General features: G+C 44.1%; 1 protein-coding gene and 1 pseudogene across 2 annotated transcripts in view; one reads left to right on the top strand and one right to left on the bottom strand.

Annotated features, from left to right (window-relative positions):
- ZNF782 (zinc finger protein 782) overlaps nt 1-19725 on the top strand; it is a 117643-nt gene that overhangs the window by 18351 nt on the left and 79567 nt on the right. The window lies entirely within an intron of this gene.
- PTMAP11 (prothymosin alpha pseudogene 11) lies at nt 5001-6381 on the bottom strand (annotated as a pseudogene). Its single transcript, NR_028350.1, has one exon. The product of NR_028350.1 is annotated as a prothymosin alpha pseudogene 11 (transcript).

Here is a 19725-nt window from a genome sequence, read left to right as displayed (position 1 = left end):
CTGCCCGCCTTGGCCTCCCAGAGTGCTGGGATTACAGGTATGAGCCACGGTGCCCGGCCTAGGAGACTTTTTGAAATGCAAAAAAACAAAAACACAATTACAACAGCTCTACCCTGTGTACGTGCTTTAGAAAATAATGCTATTTACCTTAATTTTCACATTTTCAACAAAGAGCAGGCACGATTTGCTAGTGAACAGGACCCCAATTTATTGTTTCCCTTATTACTATATTTCTCTACTGTTCTTATGATTCTACTTTAAGAAGACATTAATTTAATACTATGGAGTTGTAATTTATTATATTGGATACCTAAAAGGGGTAGAATCAGGTTGAACAAAGAATTTTCTTGGCATAATTAGTACAAATGTTTTGTTTATGAAGTGCAGCAATATCTCCTTTAGACCCAGGCAAGAGGGACCCTGCTGTGAACCCTGGCACCCCGACACATTTTATGCACCCCAATACCTATGTTGCTTTGTTACAGGCAAATGGTGCTTTCGTCTCTCAGGACCCCATGCCCTGTGCTGGCACAGCATGACCTAAAGCCCTAAACACCAACGCTTATGTGCAACACTGCTCACCAAGGGATATCTCTTGACCTATGCTCCCAACACACAAGGCACCTGCATACAAAGGTCATGAGAGTTTGTGGGTTGTATGCCACTGATGTCAAAGCAGATACTGTTCCAATTAGAGGAAGGATTCCAGAGGAGGAAGCACTTAAGAAAGAAAAAAACATAATTGCCTGCCAAATCCTTACACGTGGTTAGCATGAAAGCAATTAGCTCTTGCCTAATTGAAATATTGGTATGCTGAGCATTCGTGTTCTTTTCACATTCCAATTCTGATTCCTGAGGTACTTAAATCACTTTGGTATTCACCACAGTTGCGTATAGCACCTGAGAAACATTTTCTAACACTGAATGATGCATGCTATTCTTACATTTGTATGTATGTAGGACTAGATGTAACAAGCATCTATACCGTCAGTAGAGCATAAATTATGTGCGGATTTCAATTATAATAACATAAGTGGGCCGGGCGCGGTGGCTCACGCCTGTAATCCCAGCACCTTGGGAGGCCAAGGCGGGCAGATCATGAGGTCAGGAGTTGGACACCAGCCTGGCCAACATGGTGAAACCCCGTCTCTACTAAAAATACAAAAATTAGCCTGGCATGGTGATGCATGCCTGTAATCCCAGATAATCAGGAGACTGAGGCAGGAGAATTGCCTGAACCCAGGAGGCGGAGGTTGCAGTGAGCCGAGATCGCGCCACTGCACTCCAGCCTGGGTGACAGCGTGAGACTCCGTCTTGGAAAATAAAATAACATAAGTGAAGGCCCAAAAAAATAATAATAATGCAATATGTATTTTATTTTATTACTCGTCCCCTAATCACCAGCTTATCATCAGAGCATCCGGACACATTCAACCATAATCACACTCAATTATCTTGACATTTTGCCTTTTTTTTTTTTTTGAGACAAGGTCTCGCTGTGTTGCCCAGGCTGGTCTCAAACTCTTGAGCCAAGCAATCCTTCTGCCTCAGCCTCTTGGGTAGCTGAGTTTATAGGTGCACACCATTGCACTAGCTCCATTTTTTTACCTTAGGAGAAATAGAGCTTTAAACCAATTTTAAAAGTTTAATGTTCTGTAATCCCCGCACTTTGGGAAGCTGAGGTGGGCAGATCACCTGAGGTTGCGAGTCTGACACCAGCCTGGTCAAAATGGTGAAACTCTGTCTCTACTAAAAAATTACAAAAATTAGCTAGGTGTGGTGGCCCATGCCTGTAATCCTGCTACTTGGGAGGCGGAGGCAGGAGAATTGCTTGAATTGCGGGGGTGGAGGTTGCAGCGAGCCAAGAACATGCCACTGCACTCCAGCTTGGGCATCATCAGAGCAAGGCTCCGTCCCCTCCAACCCCCCGCCAAAAAAAAAAGCTTAATGTTTTAGAAGGGCGCATTTGTCAAGCTAGGAAGATAGAGCATGTTTTCTCTGACAGTTTAATTCGATTTGCAACTTAAATACCTGGATATAGGATATTTGGGCCTTCTTTTGCATTCTTAGTCTGGGCCCTGCAAGTGTTAGGGGAAGGTCTGAACTACTCTAATGGTTTGATTTTATTTTTAAAATTTTTTGAAATGGAGTCTCACTCTGTCACCCAGACTGTAGTGCAGTGGTGTGATCTCGGCTCACTGCAACCTCCGCCTCCCAGGTTCAAGTGGTTCTCCTGCCTCAGCCTCCCAAGTAGCTGGGATTACAGATGTGCACCACCACACCTGGCTAGTTTTTGTATTTTTAGTAGAGACGGGGTTTCACCATGTTGGCCAGGCTGGTCTCGAACTTCTGGCCTGAAGTGATCCTCCCTTCTCAGCCTCCCAAGAGAGCTGGGATTACAGGTGTGAGCCACCGTGCCTAGCCATAGTTTGATTTTAAATACCAATAACCTTGATATTTTTGAAAGCCTACTTGTTTATTTTCTCTCTGGTATATTGCAACTATTTTTTTAAGAACAACTCAGCAAAATAAAATTCCTGTTTATTGTTGGACAACATTGTTTCATGCATATATCAAACAGGCCAAAAAAAACCCCAGCAACTTTATAAACAAAAAAACGGAAAAAAAAGGCCGGGCGCAGTGGCTCACGCCTGTAACCCCAGCACATTGGGAGGCTGAGGTGGGCAGATCATGAGGTCAGGAGTTTGAGACCAGCCTGGCCAACATGGTGAAACCCCGTCTCTACTAAAAATACAAAAATTAGCCAGGCGTGATGGCATACGCCTGTAATTCCAGCTACTCCAGAGGCTGAGGCAGGAGAATCGCTTGAACCCGGGAAGTGGAGGTTGCAGTGAGCCAAGATCGTGCCACTGCACTCCAGCCTGGGCAACAGAGCGAGACTCCATCTCAAAAAAATAAAAGGAAAAAAAAGAAGCCTTTTATCTCTGGCCTTTTTGTTTTTGAGATGGAAACTCACTCTGTCGCCCGGGCTGGAGTGCAGTGGCACGATCTCGGCTCACTGCAATGTCCGCCTCCCGAGTAGCTGGGATTACAGGCGCCCGCCACTACGCCCAGCCAATTTTTTGTATTTTTAGTAGAGACGGGGTTTCGCCATGTTGGCCAGGCTGGTCTCGAACTCCCGACCTCATGATCTGCCCGCCTTAGCCTCCCAGAAAAAAAAAAGGCCTGAGATTACAGGTGTGAGCCACTGCGCCTGGCCTGTTTTTTAGTTAGTTTTTTTTTTTTTTTTTTTTTTTCGAGACGGAGTTTCACTCTTGCCCAAGCTGCAGTGCGATGGCGGATCCTGGCTCACCACAACCTCCGACTCCCGGGTTGAAGCGATTCTCCTGCCTCAGCCTCTCCAGTAGCTGGGATTACAGGCATGAGCCACCACGCCCGGCTGATTTTTTGTATTTTTAGTAGTGATAGGGTTTCCCCATGTTGGTCAGGCTGGTCTTGAACTCCCAACCTCAGATGATCTGCCCGCCTCGGCCTCTCAAAGTGCTGGGATTACAGGCGTGAGCCGCCATGCCAGCCGGCCTTTTTAACCAAATCATATAAACCAACTACTTATAGTACAGCTAAGTACATACACAAAAAAGTTACTGCAATGGTGGGAATAAGATTGTTTTTCAGGGCTGGGCGTGGTGGGTCACACCTGTAATCCCAGCACTTTGGGAGGCTGAGGTGGGCGGATCACGAGGTCAGGAGATGGAGACCATCCTCGCTAACACGGTGAAACCCCGTCTCTACTAAAAATACAAAAAATTAGCCGGGTGTAGTGGCGGGCGCCTGTAGTCCCAGCTACTGGGGAGGCTGAGGCAGGATAATGGCTTGAACCCGGGAGGCAGAGCTTGCAGTGAGCCGAGATCGCGCCACTGCACTCCCGCCTGGGAGAAAGAGCGAGACTAACTCTCAAAAAAAAAAAACAAAACAAAACAAAAACAAAAAAAAAACTTGTAAGAAAAGCAAAAATGACAACAGAAAAACAATCTTTTTTTTTTTTTTTTTTTTTTTGAGACAGAGTCTTGCTCTGTTGCCCAGGCCGGAGTGCAGTGGCGCGATCTCGGCTCACTGCAAGCTCCGCCTCCCGGGTTCATGCCATTCTCCTGCCTCAGCCTGCCGAGTAGCTGGGACTACAGGCGCCCGCCACCGCGCCCAGCTAATTTTTTGTATTTTTAGTATAGATGGGGTTTCACCGTGTTAGCCAGGATGGTCTCCATCTCCTGACCTCGTGATCCGCCCGCCTCGGCCTCCCAAAGTGCTGGGATTACAGGCGTGAGCCACCGCGCCTGGCCCTTTTTTTACAAGTTTTTTTTTTTTTCCTCCTTTGAGATTATAATGAACATGGTCACACCACAAGTAAAGTCAGAAGTAGGACGGAGAACGGTCCGAAGGCTGGTTTGGTCATCCGAGATCATTAAAGGTGGCTGACCCTAACAATATGTACAAAAATATAAAATGTAAATTAAAAATACAAGCAAATTTCTTTTTTTAAAGTACTTTTAAGAAAAAAAGCAGGCCGGGCGCGATGGCTCACGCCTGTAATCCCAGCACTTTGGGAGGCCGAGGTGGGTGGATCACGAGGTCAGGAGATCGAGACCATACTGGCTAACACTGTGAAACCCCATCTCTGCTAAAAATACAAAAAATCAGCCGGGTGTCGTGGCGGGCGCCTGTAGTCCCAGCTACTCGGGAGGCTGAGGCAGGAGAATGGCATGAACCCGGGAGGAGGAACTTGCAGTGAGCCGAGATCGCACCACTGCACTCCAGCCTGGGTGACAGAGCAAGACTCTGCCTCAAAAAAAAGAAAAAAGAAAAAAAGCAGGGCCTTGGAAGTTTTGGTTGTTTTTTCCTCCCCTGTTGCAAATTCTTACGGTTTAGGTTGGGTGGTGGAGAGTGTGTGTCATCTGTGGGTGGCACTGCCCATGGTGGGGGGGTACCGAGCTATACTGGAAGGTGACTACGTTTAGATTCTGAGACAGGAAATGGAGGGTGAATAGGTCATGGCGGCCTTTTTTTTTTAGTTTAACTTTTCCTTTTTTGCTGTCTAGTCATCCTTGTCGGTCTTCTGCTTCTTGGTATCGACATCATCATCCTCATCATCTTCAGCTGCCCGCTTGCCTGTAGCAGACTCAGCTTCCTCTTCATCTCCATCCTCTTCCTCACCATCACCTTCTTTTTCCTCCTCCTCTTCCTCCCCACTTTCTTCCCCTTCTTCATCTACCTCCTTGTCAGCCTCCTGCTCCCCATTTTCCTCATTAGCATTCCCGTTAGCAGGGGCGTCTCTTCCATTTTCCGCCTCTTTCACAACTTCCTTCTTCTCCTTTAAGTCCTTGGCAATGATTTCAGAGCTGGTGTCTACAGCTGCATCTGACATGGTGGGGCACGCCGGTGATCTGATGCAGGGGATTAAAAAGAAAACGAGAGTTCAGGGACTCTGGCGATAAAGCTGCCAGAGTCTGCGGTGGAGGCAGCCGCGGCGAGCAAGGAGCTGGACAAGGAACAATGCAAAGATGGCTTTTCAGAGCAGCCAATCGGGATCTTGAAACTATTAAGGCCTAAAATCATTAGCACTGTTTTCTCCCTCTAAGACATATGTGGCTTTTCACTTTATTTTCAGCTGAATGCTTTTGCTGTTTTGGGTTTAGCAAGCTTTTGGTCTTAAAAATATCCAACAATGCAGTTAAGAGGCCAGATGACTTTATGCATGAAACATTGTTAAGATGAGGAATTTTCCCATAGAAAGGTGACCAGATTTGAGGAAATTATTTAGTCAGTATAAACTTTTCTCTGGATGTAAACAGTACAGATTTTACTTTCAGGCTTTCCTAATAAAGTTTCTAACAGACCTGGAAAGGAGAAGGAAGAGTAACATCTGTTGCAAAACCCCAGTTACGTGTAGGACAAATAAGAATCTGGGAGAGAGGTGACTTGCCCAAGTGACACACCGATTTGGGATATATTAGGGAGAACCATTAATTCTTGTCCATAAGGCTTGATTTAGAATTGTTTTTTATTTTAATGGAAGTTCTGTAGAAAGAAAGGAATACTTGGAAAAATTGAGCCACTTGTAAATACTTGGAAGATGAGAAAAGAGAATGGTTTAAAATCTTCTTACCATATCCCTATTCTCCTCCTCTTCCTCCTCATCATCAGAATCACAGTCAGTCAGTCAAGGTTGGCACTTTATTAGTGTGAACAAGGTCAGTATGAAAACACAAAGTATAGGGAAGTTGTGACACCCAATGTGTACAATTTCTAAGTCACACCTCTCTGTTTCACATTTATTTATTTATTTCTCAGTTTCATTTTAATATGGTTATAGGACCACCAGGTTCGATTGCCTGTTGCATGGTAACAAACCAATGCACCAGAACAGTGGAGATTGCAGCAGAGAAAGAGTTGAATAACTGTAGGGCAGCCGAATGAGAAGACAAGACGAGAGGAAACTTCAAATCTGCCTCCCTGAGAGGTTTGGGGATGGGGATTTTAAGGGGTCTGGACAGGTGATGGGCTAAAGTATGGGGATTGCTGACTGGTTGAGAAGTGGGGAGTGAAGTCATGGGACCAGGAGATGCTGAGTCGTTTTCTTGGTAGGGGTTTTCAGACGGTTGGCATCAGCCATTCTGCTGGAATTCAGGATCTGAAAAACACCTTAAGCAATTCTTGGGTAAAATGTCCAGTGTCAGATTCTATCTATGGGAGCAATGGGGGAGCAGGTGGTCAGTGTGCTGCATGACCCTCGATTAGTTAGCAGCTGCAGGGAAATGAGTCAGAGCACACCAGTGCATGCTGGTTGATGCCTGACTACAATACAAGCCTAAAGCCTGGCTTGTAATTCTCATTAACCCTGTGAGGGTGGGTTTTCCCTTGGGCTTTTGCCCCATTCTAAGCAACACTTCTATGGATATTTTTGACTACATGTTTTTTGTAGTGCACACTGGAAAATATTCTGTGTGCTCAAATTAATTTTTTTCCAAGACTGTTTCTCATTTTAATATCCCAGAGCTTCTCTTGCATTTTAGGCTGCAATGGGTGAAGAAAGTTATATCTTCATTCCTTTGTCAAAAATTTACTGAGTGCCTGGGCACTCAAGTGCTGTAATCCCAGCACTTTGGGAGGCTGAAGCAGGAGGATAGCTTGAACCCAGGAGTTCAAGACCAGCCTGGACAGGAGGATCACTTGAGCCCAGGAACTGGAGGCTGCAGCGAGCCATGATTGCACCACTGCACTCCAGCATGGGCAACGCAGCAATACCCTGTCTCAAAAACAAAAAAAACCATTTATTGAGTGCTTACTCAATGGTAGTTAGGCACTGGCCTGGGCACTGGAAAACAGAGAAATATAACATGTCCCCATCTTTCTCAGCATAAAGCTTATCAGACTGTGTCCATTGTGTTTATTTAAGAATATATTTCCAATACTAGTAGTTCTGTTTATAGCTATCCATCTTACCTCACCCCCTTCCCCCAGATAAAAAATAAGCAATGTTCAATTTTAAGACACTATCAAGGCCGGGCACGGTGGCTCACACCTGTAATCCCAGCACTTTGGGAGGCCAAGGTGGGCAGATCACCTGAGGTCAAGAGTTCGAGACCAGCCTGGCCAACATGGTGAAACCCCATCTCTACTAAAAATACAAAAATTAGCCGGGTGTGGTGGCAGGCTCCTGTAATCCCAGCTAGTCGGGAGGCTGAGACAGGAGAATCGCTTGAACCCGGGAGATGGAGGTTGCAGGGAGCTGAGATTATGCCATTGCACTCTAGCCTGGGCGACCAAGAGTGAAACTCTGTCTTACACACACACACACACAAAAAGACACTATCAAGTTACAGAAATCAAGGCAGTGTGGTATTGGAGAAGACTTAGACATATAGATCAATGGAACAGAATGGGACCCACACATAGATCCTCACAAATATGGCCAATTGATTGTTTTAAATTGCGGTAAACTACATGTAACATAAATTTACCATCGTAACCATTTTTAAGCATACAGTTCAGTATGGTTTAATATATTCATATTGTTGTGCAACTAATTTCCAGAACTTTTTCGTCTTGCAAAACAAACTCGATTTCCGTTAAACAACAACTGCCCCTTTCTCCTTTCCCCAGCTCCTGGCAACCCGCATTCTACTTTCTCTTTCTATAAGCTTGACTATGTTAGGTACCTCATATAAGTAATCATATAGTATTTGTGACTGGCTTATTTCACTTAATGTAATGTCCTCAAGGTTCATCCATTTGTCAGAAATTCTTTCCTTTTTAACACTGAATAATATTCTCTCGTTTGTGTATACAACATCTTGTTTATCCATTCATTCATGCATGGACACTTGGGTTCCTTCTACCTTTTGGCTATTGTGAATAATGCTGCTATGAACATGGGTATACAAATATCTGTTCGATTCCCTGCTTTCAATTCTTTTGGGTATTGTTGTACTGTGAAATATATATTTGGTCTTTGTTCCAATTTCCTGGCATACAACTCCTAAGATCCTTGGAATCTCCAAAGTGATGTCTTTTTGTGTGCTAATGAGTTGCCAGATGGCTGGCAGCTCCTAGGTAGCTTCAGGATGGGGGCTGGTCACCAGAAATGATTAGACGGTTGGGACTTTTGGCCCTAGCCCCATCCTTTAGAGAGGAAAAAGGGGCTCAAGGTTAAGTTGATCACCAGCGGTCAATGGTTTAATCAATTATGCCTACCTAACAAAGCTTCTATAAAAACTGCAAATGACAGGGTGTGGGAAGTTTCTGAATAGTTGAACTCATGAAAGTTCCTGGAGGGTGGCATGCCTGGGAGGATATAAAAGCTCCACGTCTATTTTCATCTCTTACCCTAGGCATCTTTTCATCAATACCCTTTGTAATATTCTTTATAATAAACTGGTAAATGTAAGTTAAAAGTTAAGTGTCTTCCTGAGTTCTGTGAGCCACTCTAGCAAATTAATCGGACCAGAGGTGGGGATCCCCCATTTATAGCCAGTCAGTAAGAAGTGCAGGTAAAGCAACCTGGGGCTTGCAATTGGCATAGGAAGTGGGGGGCAGTCTTGTGGACTGAGCACTCAACCTGTGGGATCTGATGCTCTCTCCAGGTAGATAGTGTCAGAATTGAATTGAATTAGAGGACACCCAGTTGGTGTCCATGCTGCAGAGGTGGTTACTTACTTGGTGTGTGGGGAGAACCCCATACACGTCTGGTGTCTGAAGTACTCTGTGTTGGTGAGTATAGCAGGATAAATCAAGTTTGGTTATTATTAGTAGTATATGTTATTTAGCATACATTATTATTAATATACACCCAGAAGTAGAATTGCTGGATCATAGTGTAATTCTCTCTTTAATTTTTTGAGGCGCCACCATACTGTTTACCTTAGTGGCTACACCATTTTACATTCTCATGACAACAGTGCTCAAGAGTTTCAGTTTCTCCATATTCTCAGCAGTGTTACCAAAAAGGGGTCCTGACCCAGAGCCCAAGAGAGGGTTCTTGGACCTCTCCCAAGAAAGAATTCACACAAGTCCATAGAGTAAAGTGAAAGCAAGTTTATTAAGAAAGTAGAGGAATAGGCCGGGCACGGTGGCTCATGCCTGTCATCCCAGCACTTTGGGAGGCCGAGGCGGGTGGATCATGAGGTCAGGAGTTCGAGACCAGCCTGGCCAACATGGTGAAACCCTGCCTCTCATAAAAATACAAAAATTAGCTGGGCATAGTGGCGCATGTCTGTAGTCCCAGCTGCTTGGGAGGCTGAAGCAGGAGAATTGCTTGAACCCAGGAGGCAGAGGTTGCAGTGAGCCAAGATCGCGCCACTGTACTCCAGCACTCCAGCCTAGGTGACAGAGCAAGACTCAGTCTCAAAAAAGAAAAAAAAAAGTAAGGGAATAAAGAATGGCTACTCCATAGGCAGAGCAGCGGCATGGGCTGCTTGACTGGAGTATACTTATAGTTATTTCTTGATGATATGCTAAACAAGGGGTGGATTATTCATGAGTTTTCTGGGAAAGGGGTGGGCAGTTCCCAGAAATGAGAGTTCCTCCCTTTTTTAGACCATATAGAGTAACTTCCTGACATTGCCATGGCATTTGTAAATGGTCATGGTGCTGGTGGGAGTGTCTCTTAGCATGCTAATGCGTTATAATTAGTGTAAAATGAGCAGTGAGGACCACCAGAGGTCACTGTCATCACCATCTTGGTTTTGGTGGGTTTTGGCCGGCTTCTTTACTGCAACTTGTTTTATCAGCAAGGTCTTTGTGACTTGTATCTTGTGCTGACCTTGTATCTCATCCTGTGACTCAGAATGCCCAACCTCCTGGGAATGCAGCCCAGCAGGTCTCAGCCTTATTTTACCCAGCTCCTATTCAAGATGGAGTTGCTCTGGCTCAAATGCCTCTGACACCAACACTCATTATTTTCTGTTTTTTGTTTTGTTTTACAGTAGTCATTCTGATGGGTATGAGGTGATGACCAATTGATTTTTGACAGAGGTGCAAAAGTAATTCAAAGGAGAAAGGACAGTCTTTCCAAAACCAGTGTTGGGATAATTAGTCATCCTGCAAAAAAATGAACCTTGACCTAAATTTCACCTTATACACAGACTAACTAAAAATTGATTTTACACGTAAATGTTAAAATTCAAAGCATAATATTTAAAAAAGAAAACAGAAGAAAATTTTCATGAACTGAAGTTAGACAAAAAGTTCTTAGATATGATGTCAAATGCCTGATCCACTAAAAAACATGACAAATTGGATTCATAAAATTTAAAACCCATGCTCTGCAAAATACACTGTGAAGAGAATAAAAATACACACCACAGACTTGGAGAAAATGTTGAGAAATCACTTATCTGACAAAGACTAGTATTCAGAGTATATAAAGACCTCTCAAAACTCAACAGAAGGAAAACAGAGTTTAAGTAAAAAATGGGTAAAAGACTTGAGCAGATACTTCATCAAAGAAGTTATATCGATGGAAAATAAGCACAAGAAAATATTTTCAACATCATTAGCTATCAGGAAGTGCAAATTAAAACCATAGTGAGGCTGGGGACAGTGGCTCATGCCTGTAATGCCAGCATTTTGGGAAGCTGAGGCAGGAGGATTGCTTGAGCTCAGGAGTTCCAGACCAGCCTGGCCAACATAGTGAGACCCTGTCTCTACTAAAAATCAAAAATAGCTGGGCATGTCTCTACTAAAAATAAAAAATAGGTGGCATACCGCTGTAGTCCCAGCTACTTGGGAGGCTGAAGTGAGAGGATTACTTGAGCCCTGGAGATTGAAGTTGTAGTGAGCTATGATAGCACCACTGCACCCCTGCCTGGGTGACAGAGTGAGACCTTGCCTCCCAAAAAACAAACCAAAAAAACCATAGTGAGACACCACACCATCAGCTAAAATAGAAAAACTGACCTGACCAAGTGATGTGGAGAATGTGGAGTAACTAGAACTTGCACACATTTCTGGTGGGAATGGAGAATGACGCAGTCACTCTGGAAGAACACTTGGCAGCCTTTTATAAAGTTAAACATATACTTACTATATGACCCACCAGTCCCACTCCTAGGTATTTACCTTAGCAAATGAAAAGTTATGGCCGGGTGCGGAGGCTCATGCCTGTAATCCCAGCACTTTGGGAGGCCGAGGCAGGTGGATCACAAGGTCAGGAGATCGAGACCATCCTGGCGAACACGGTGAAACCCCCTCTCTACTAAAAATACAAAAAATTAGCCGGGTGTGGTGGCGGGCGCCTGTAGTCACAGCTACTCGGGAGGCTGAGGCAGGAGAATGGTATGAACCCAGGAGGCGGAGCTTGCAGTGAGCCGAGATTGCGCCACTGCACTCCAGCCTGGGCGACAGAGCTAGACTCTGTCTCAAAAAAAAAAAAAAAAAAAAAAAACCAACATAAAATTAAAAAAAAGAAAAGTTATGGTCACATGAAAACTTGTATAGCGGTGTTTCATAAAGCTTTGTTTGTAATACCCCCAAACTGGAAACACTGAAAACTTCTCCCACTGGTAAATGAGTAAGTAATCTTTGGTACATCCATACAGTGAATGGAAGACTACCCGGCAAAAAAAGGGACCCAGCAACTTGATTGATCTCAAAGGTAACATTCTGAGTGAAAGAAGCCCGTCTCAAAGGTTTACATATTGTATTATTTCATTTATGACAACCTCAAAAAGATGCAACTATAAATGTTAGGCAACAAATCGGTGGTTGCCAGGAGTTAGTGGGAGAATGTGGCCTTAAGGGAGCAGCATGAGGGAGTTTCTTAGGGTGATAGAGCTCTTTTGTATCTGCATTGAAGCAGTGGCTATATGAATCTGTGTTTTTTAAAACTTCAGGAACTGGCCAGTCATGGTGGCTTATGCCTGTAATCCCAGGACTTTGGGAGGCCGAGGCTGGAGGATCACTTGAGCCAAGGAGTTTTAAGACCAGCGTGGGCAACATGGCAAAACCCCATCTCTACAAAAAATAGAAAAATTAGCCCGGTGTGATGGTGCATGCTTGTAATCGCAGCTACTTCGGATCCTGAGGTGGGAGGATCGCTGGAACCCAGGAGGGGGAGGCTGCAGTGAGCTGTGATCATGCCAGTGTACTTCAGCCTGGGTGACAGTGAGACCCTGTTTCAAAATAATAATAATAATAATAATAATAATAATAATAATAATAAACTGATAGAACTGTACACAAGAAAAGTCAATTTTACTGTAGGCTAACTTAAAATTAAAATATATAAAATAATGTTTACATGAATACAATAAAAATGTTAACATAAATAACAGTTATGCAAAAAATAACTTCACAAAAGAATTTCCAAAAGAAAAAAGTTATAGTGAGAAGAATGACATTGTTTTACAATTTTGCAAAGAATTTTTTCTGCCTTAACAGAAGACACAGGATTCAATTGTATATATGTAATTCTATGTATCTTACAGGCTCAGCAAAGCTCTACTCATTGTCTACACTCATGAGACAATGAAAGTAAATTAGACAAGTCATTCCCAGTATCTTTTTTTTTTTTTTTTTTTGAGATGGAGATTCACTCTTGCCCAGTCTGGAGCACACTCACGTGATCTCAGCTCACTGCAACTTCCACCTCCCAGGTTCAAGCAATTCTCCTGCCTCAGCCTCCCAAATAGCTGGGATTATAGGTGTTTGCCACCACACCTGGCTAATTTTTGTATTTTTAGTAGAGACAGGGCTTCACCAAGTTGGTCAGGGATCCTGACCTCCAGTGATCCGCCTGCCTCGGCCTCCCAAAGTGCTGGGATTACAGGTGTGAGCCACTGCGCTCGGCCCCAGTATTATTTTGAGAATACTTTTGACCTCATAGACCGTTCTCCTAAAAAAAGATTTGGGGATTCTCCAGGGTTGCCTGTGCCACACTTTGAGAACCACTGGCCTATGTTATAACTTTGCACTAAAGGAAGTACTTTTCTTCTTATGATTGGTTTTAGGGAAAATATTACTTTATCCTTCATAGAAAAAAATCATTTAACATATTTATTGATTGAATTATGATATATAGTCATAATTTTAAAAGTCAAATTCAGATGTTTCTTTTTTTTTTTTTTTTTTTTGAGACAGAGTTTGCCCAGGCTGGGGTGCAATGGCGCGATCTTGGTCACTGCAACCTCCACCTCCCTGGTTCAAGCCATTCTCCTGCCTCAGCCTCCCAAGTAGCTGGGATTACAGGTGTGTGCCACCATGCCCCACGCCCAGCTAATTTTTGTATTTTTAGTAGAGACGATGTTTCACCACGTTGGCTAGGCTAGATATACAGATGATTCTTATACTTAAATGGTCACTTTGTTTATGATTTCCAGCAATAACCAGCCCTAGGAACCTTAAAAAACCTTCCATAAAGTTTTTTTATCAGGCTGGGCGCAGCGGCTCACGTCTGTAATCCCAGCGCTTTGGGAGGCCGAGGTGGGAGGATCTCCTTAGGTCAGGAGTTTGAGACCAGCCTGGCCAACATAATGAAACCTCGTCTCTACTAAAAATACAAAAATTAGCCAGGCGTGGTGGTGCACATCTGTAGTCCCAGTTACTCGGGAGGCTGAGGCAGGAGAATTGCTTGAATCTGGGAGGCAGAGGCTGTAGTGAGCCAAGATTGCACCACTGCACTCCAGCTTGGGCAACAGAGAGAGTCTCTGTCTCAAAAAAAAAAAAAAAAAAAGTTTTTTTTCAATTATAGGACAGTAGATGTTTTCATCATATGAGAGTAATGACTTACAAATTATTTACTGTCAAAACTGTAACATAGCCATTTCTTTTTTTTTTCCACCCCGAGACGGAGTCTTGCTCTGTTGCCCAGGCTGGAGTGCTGTGGCCTGATCTTGGCTCACTGCAACCTCTGCCTCCCTGGTTCAAGCAGTTCTCCTGCCTCAGCCTCCTGAGTAGCTGGGATTACAGGCGCACACCACCATGCCCAGCTAATTTTTGTATTTTTAGTAAAGACGGGGTTTCACCAGGTTGGCCAGGCTGGTCTTGAACTCCTGATCTCATGACCCCTGACCTCATGATCTGCCTGCCTCAGCCTCCCAAAGTGCTGAGATTACAGGCATGAGCCACCACACCTGGCTGCCATTTCTTTTTTAAAATGAATAATGGGATTTCTTGTAAGGAGTGGCCTATCATGGGTGAAAAGATGCTTGTATACCCCATTTCAGGTTATACTGCAGTGTTTGTTTTGTTTTGTTTTGTTTGAGACAGAGTTTTGCTCTTGTTGCCCAGACTGGAGTGCAATGGTGCGATCTCAGCTCACTGCAATCTCTGCCTCCCAGGTTCAAGTGATTCTCCTGTCTCAGCCTCCCGAGTAGCTGAGATGACAGGCATGCACCACCATGCCTGGCTAATTTTTTGTATTTTTAGTAGAGATGGGGTTTCTCCATGTTGATCAGGCTGGTCTCGAACTCCTGACCTCAGGTGATCCCCCCGCCTCGGCCTTCCAAGGTGCTGGGATTACAGGCGTGAGCCATTGCACCCAGCTCATACTGCACTATTATGTGAGCAGTACTATTCTTCTTGGAAGCCATTTGCTGTCTATAAGTCAGAAAGTTTTACTTCCTAAGAAACTTCATGAAATCTATAAGCAGCTTCTTTGAAGATGGCCTTTTGTAATCTGCATATGACCCCCGATTCTGAAACTGACTAGGACTGATTGCAGCATCAGGAAGGAGGAATTTCCTGCCTCTGTGAGGGTTGGGCAATGCAGAGGTTGGGGCAGGTGCCACCACCCTGGGGCTTAGACTCAGTTAGTTTGCCTGGGACCCAGCTCTGTGAGCTTAACCAATATCTCAGAGTAAAGGCTATTAAATAGGACAATCTGATCTGGTCTGAACTAATTTTGGCCTGGTACAATGGCTCACGCCTGTAATCCCAGCACTTTGGGAGGTCAAGGTCAGAGGATTGCTTAAGCCCAGGAGTTTGAGACCAGCCTGGGCAACGTGGCAAAACCTCATCTCTACTAAAAATAAAAAATTAGCGGGATGTGGTGGCACACACCTATAGTCCCAGCTACTCAGGAGGCTAAGGTAGGAGGATCACGTCAGCCCGGGAGGTTGAGGCTACAGTGAACCAAGACGGTGCCACTGCACCCCAGCCTGGGAGACAGAGGAAGACCCTGTCTCAAACAAACAAACAACACAAGAAAATCCCATTATATTTGGAGTTGGCTGTGTTTCCCTCAGTAGGCAGGTTCATTATTGAGAGTTGGAGGTTTACCATCTAGCTAACATTTGTGGATGGTTAGACTGCTTTTCCCTGCCAGTCTCTTGGAAGCAGTCAAGGCAACCAGGCCTTTAGTGGAAAAAGGAGAAGAGACAGGAATACCAGAGGCAGTCCCTTAACCTTGGATTTCTCAGCCTCCATAACTGGAAGAAATACATTCATTTTATTTATAAATTACCTGGTTTCAGGTATTCTGATATAAGTAACAGAAAATGAACCAATATAGTACCTATGGTCCAAGATCTTTAAAGAGAGCTCCTAGGTCCAATATCTGGAAGAAATGTTACAACTAAACAACAAAAAGATTAAAATATGGGTAAAGGACTTAGACATTTCTCTAAAGATATACAAATAGTCAACAAGCACATGAAAAGATATTTAGCATCCTTACTTATTAGGGAAATGCAAATCAAGACCACAGTGAGGTACCACATCATACCTACAAGGATAACTATAATTTTTTTTTTGAGATGGAGTCTCACTCTGTCACCTAGGCTTGAGTGCAGTGGCGTGATCTCAGCTCACTTTAAAAAGAAGGAAATTTTGGCACATGGATGAACCTTGAAAACATTATAGTAAGTTAAATAACTCAGTCATAAAAGGAAAAATACTATATGATTCGACTTATAGGAGGTACCTAGAATACTCACAATCGGGCAGACAGAAAGTAGAATGGTGGTTATCAGGGATTTGGGGGACAGGGAGTGGAAAGTCTATAATGGACTTGGAGTTTCAGTTTGGGAAGGTGAAAAAGTTCTGGAGATGGACAGTGGTGACGGTTGTCCCAAAATGAGAATGTACTTAAATATTACAGAACCGTGTACACTTGGAAATGATTAAAATGGGCCAGGCGCGGTGGCTCACGCCTGTAATCCCAGCACTTTGGGAGGCCCAGGTGGGTGGAACACTTTGGGAGGCCCAGGTGGGTGGATCACCTGAGGTCAGAAGTTCGAGACCAGCCTGGCCAACATGGTAAAACCCCATCTCTACTAAAAATACAAAAATTAGCCGGGCATGGTGGTGCATGCCTGAAATCCCAGCTACTCGGGAGGCTGAGGCATGAGAATCGCTTGAGCCCGGGAGGCAGAGGTTGCAGTGAGCCAAGATTGTGCCCCTGAACTGCAGCCTGGGCAATAGAGGGAGACTGTGTCTCAAAGAAAAGAAAAAAGGAAATGGTTAAAATGATAAATTTTTGTTAGGTATATTTTGCCACAATTTTTAAAAAGAAATGAGGTATTGATACTTCATTGACAATGTAGATGAATCCAGAAAACATTATGACAAGTGAAAGAAGGCAGAAATTGAAGGTCATATGTTGTGGTATGGTTCCAATTATATGGAACGTCCAAGATAGGTAAATTCATAGAAACACAAAGCAGATTGGTGGGTACCAGGGGCTGGGGTAGGAGGGAACAGCGAGTGACTGCTTGATGGGTACGGGGTTTGGTCTCCTTTGATGTGAAGAAAATATTTTAGAACTACAGGTGATGTTTGTCACAACCTTGTGAAGATACTAAATGCCTCTGAAATGTGTGTTTTAAATTGGCTCATTTTATATTATGTGAATTTCACCTCAATTTTTTGCAACAGAGACTCCTTCAGGGTGAGCAAAGGCCTGGAAACCTGTATGCAGTTAAAGAAAAGGAAAGAAAGAGATAATCAGTGCATGCAGTTGTCAGCTGGCTGGGACCTGAGGAGAGTCACTTGTGGAGGCAACTGGTCTTTATCCCTATTGTCCGGTACAAGGCAGGCATTAATCCTGTGATCCTTATCTGAAGCTCAGGTTTGATTTTATTCTTTTCTTAAGGACCTAGTGTTATCCCCAAGCTTGTAATAATAGTTTAATTGTTACAGCCAATATCTCACCTTCAGAAATAAGATGCTTAGGAAACCAAGACAAGGAACTGTGTGTTGCAAACAGCATCACCCTGGAGAAGAGGTGGCAGGAGGTGACCTACAGAAAATGGAGCAATAGCCTAGAGCAAGAAACACAGAACAAAAGAGAAATGAGGGGTTAGGCAACCTCCTGGAGCACCACCGGGACAAGCACATATTCAGGGGCCTCCTAACAGACTCGACTTCCAGCATCCTCAGATGGGGCTAGACACGTTACATAGACATTCAAGAGCAGAGAACTCAGGGACTTCTGATTTATATCAAGAAATGCATACACAGCAGACGTGTGCCTGTGGAGTGGAATTCTGGAAAAGCTCACAGCCCAGAACATAATGCAGACTCCCCCAGCCACAGCACCTTCCAATCCTGAGAAGAGTGCTGATTCTCCATCTGAGCACCCATTCTCCTGCAACATCAGGGGAGAGGATTTCACCTAAGGGTCAGACCAGCGTCTCCAAACCCAGCTCCCCACCTTTGCCTGTTGGTGGCACTTGTGGGAGAAGGGGAGATGATATGAAAAGAGCCACAACAGGAGTCACCTGGACAGGGTGGAGCTTGATGGAAACTGACATTTGTGCCCATTGGAGGCAAATGTAGAATTTGGTATCTTCCGTAGCGTCAGGCACATGAAACTCTCCAGTGCCCATGACTTTTGACAGTGACTTCAGAGCACATCTGGGAGACCCATGTGGCCCAGGCTCCACACAGAGGATACAGAGGACCAACTGTATACCACTTCATGTGATGTTGGAGTGCTGTTCTGCACGCCTAACTTTATGGCTTGGTGGATCAGACAATGCCCAATGTATGATGGAAAGCTCAGGTTGCAGGGTAGCTAGGTGGCCCATGCTTGAGCAGTCTCCACTAAGTCCCAGGAGCAAGCCAAAACTGCTTCTGAAAAGGAGAGTAGTTATCAGCGGAAGATGGCATGCTCCACAGTTCTAGGGTCCACACTGATTTGCCTGTAGAGGCCTGCCAGTGGCTTCAGATAGTATCCCTATCTGCCACTGACACTTCAAGCACCATTGGATCTCCTGAAACATAAAGCCCAAGTGGGAGAGCAGCTTGCACAGCAGCCTGGACCTGTTGCAGAGCCTGCTTTTATCCTGGGCTTAAAACTAGCAGCTTTTTGGGTCACTTGGCAAATAGGTCAGAGAGTAACACACTCAATTGAGGAATATGTTGCCTCTAAAATCCAAAGAGGGCCTAATGGTGTTATGCCTCTTTTTTTGGTTGTACAAGGGGCTAGATGCAACAACTTATTCTTCACTTTAGAAGGGATATCTCGACCACTAGACTCCTAGAAATTTCGCTGAAGTGAAAGGCCCTTGAATTTTTATAGGATTTATTTTCCACCCTCTGACATGCAAATGTCTTAGTAGTAAGTCTAGAATAGTTGCTACTTCTTACTGCTTCCAGTCAGCATTATGTCATCAATGTAATGGACCAGTGCGATTGATATAGAAGGGAAAGGCAATTAAGATCCCTTCAGATTAAATTATGACATAGGGCTGGAGAGTTGGCATACACCTGAGGTAGGACAACGAAGGTGTATTGCGAGCTTGCCACCTGAAACCAAACTGTTTCTGGTGGTCTCTACTAACAGACATCAGGAAAAAAAGTATCTGCCAGATCAGTAAGTGCATACCAGGTACCAGGGGATGTATTAATTTACTCAAGCTATGAAACCACATTTGGAACAGCAGCTGAAATTGATGTCCCCACCTGATTAAGTTTCCAGTAATTTACTCTCATTCTCCAAGATCTATCTGTTTTCTTCACAGGCTAAATAGGGGAGTAGAATGGGAATGTGATAAAAAGTACCACCTCTGCATCCTTCAAGTCCTTGATGGTGGTACTAATCTCTGCAAGCTCTACAAGAATGCAGTATTGTTTTTGGTTTGCTGTTTTTCTAGATAGAGGCAGGTAAGTGGCTTCCACTTTATAGCGTAATTGCCCTCACTCTTCAGGTCAGGAAACCAGTGTAGGGATTCTGCTAATTGTTGAGTATGTCTATTCCAATTATTCTGCAGCTACAGAGATAACAAGACGACCCACTGCAAGACAGACCTAAACTAAAACTCCATTGAT

This window comes from Homo sapiens, chromosome 9 (assembly GCF_000001405.40).
Source record: "Homo sapiens chromosome 9, GRCh38.p14 Primary Assembly".
Taxonomy (NCBI): Eukaryota; Metazoa; Chordata; class Mammalia; order Primates; family Hominidae; genus Homo; species Homo sapiens.
Note: the sequence above shows the minus strand (reverse complement) of the source record. Positions and strands in the feature narration are given on the sequence as shown.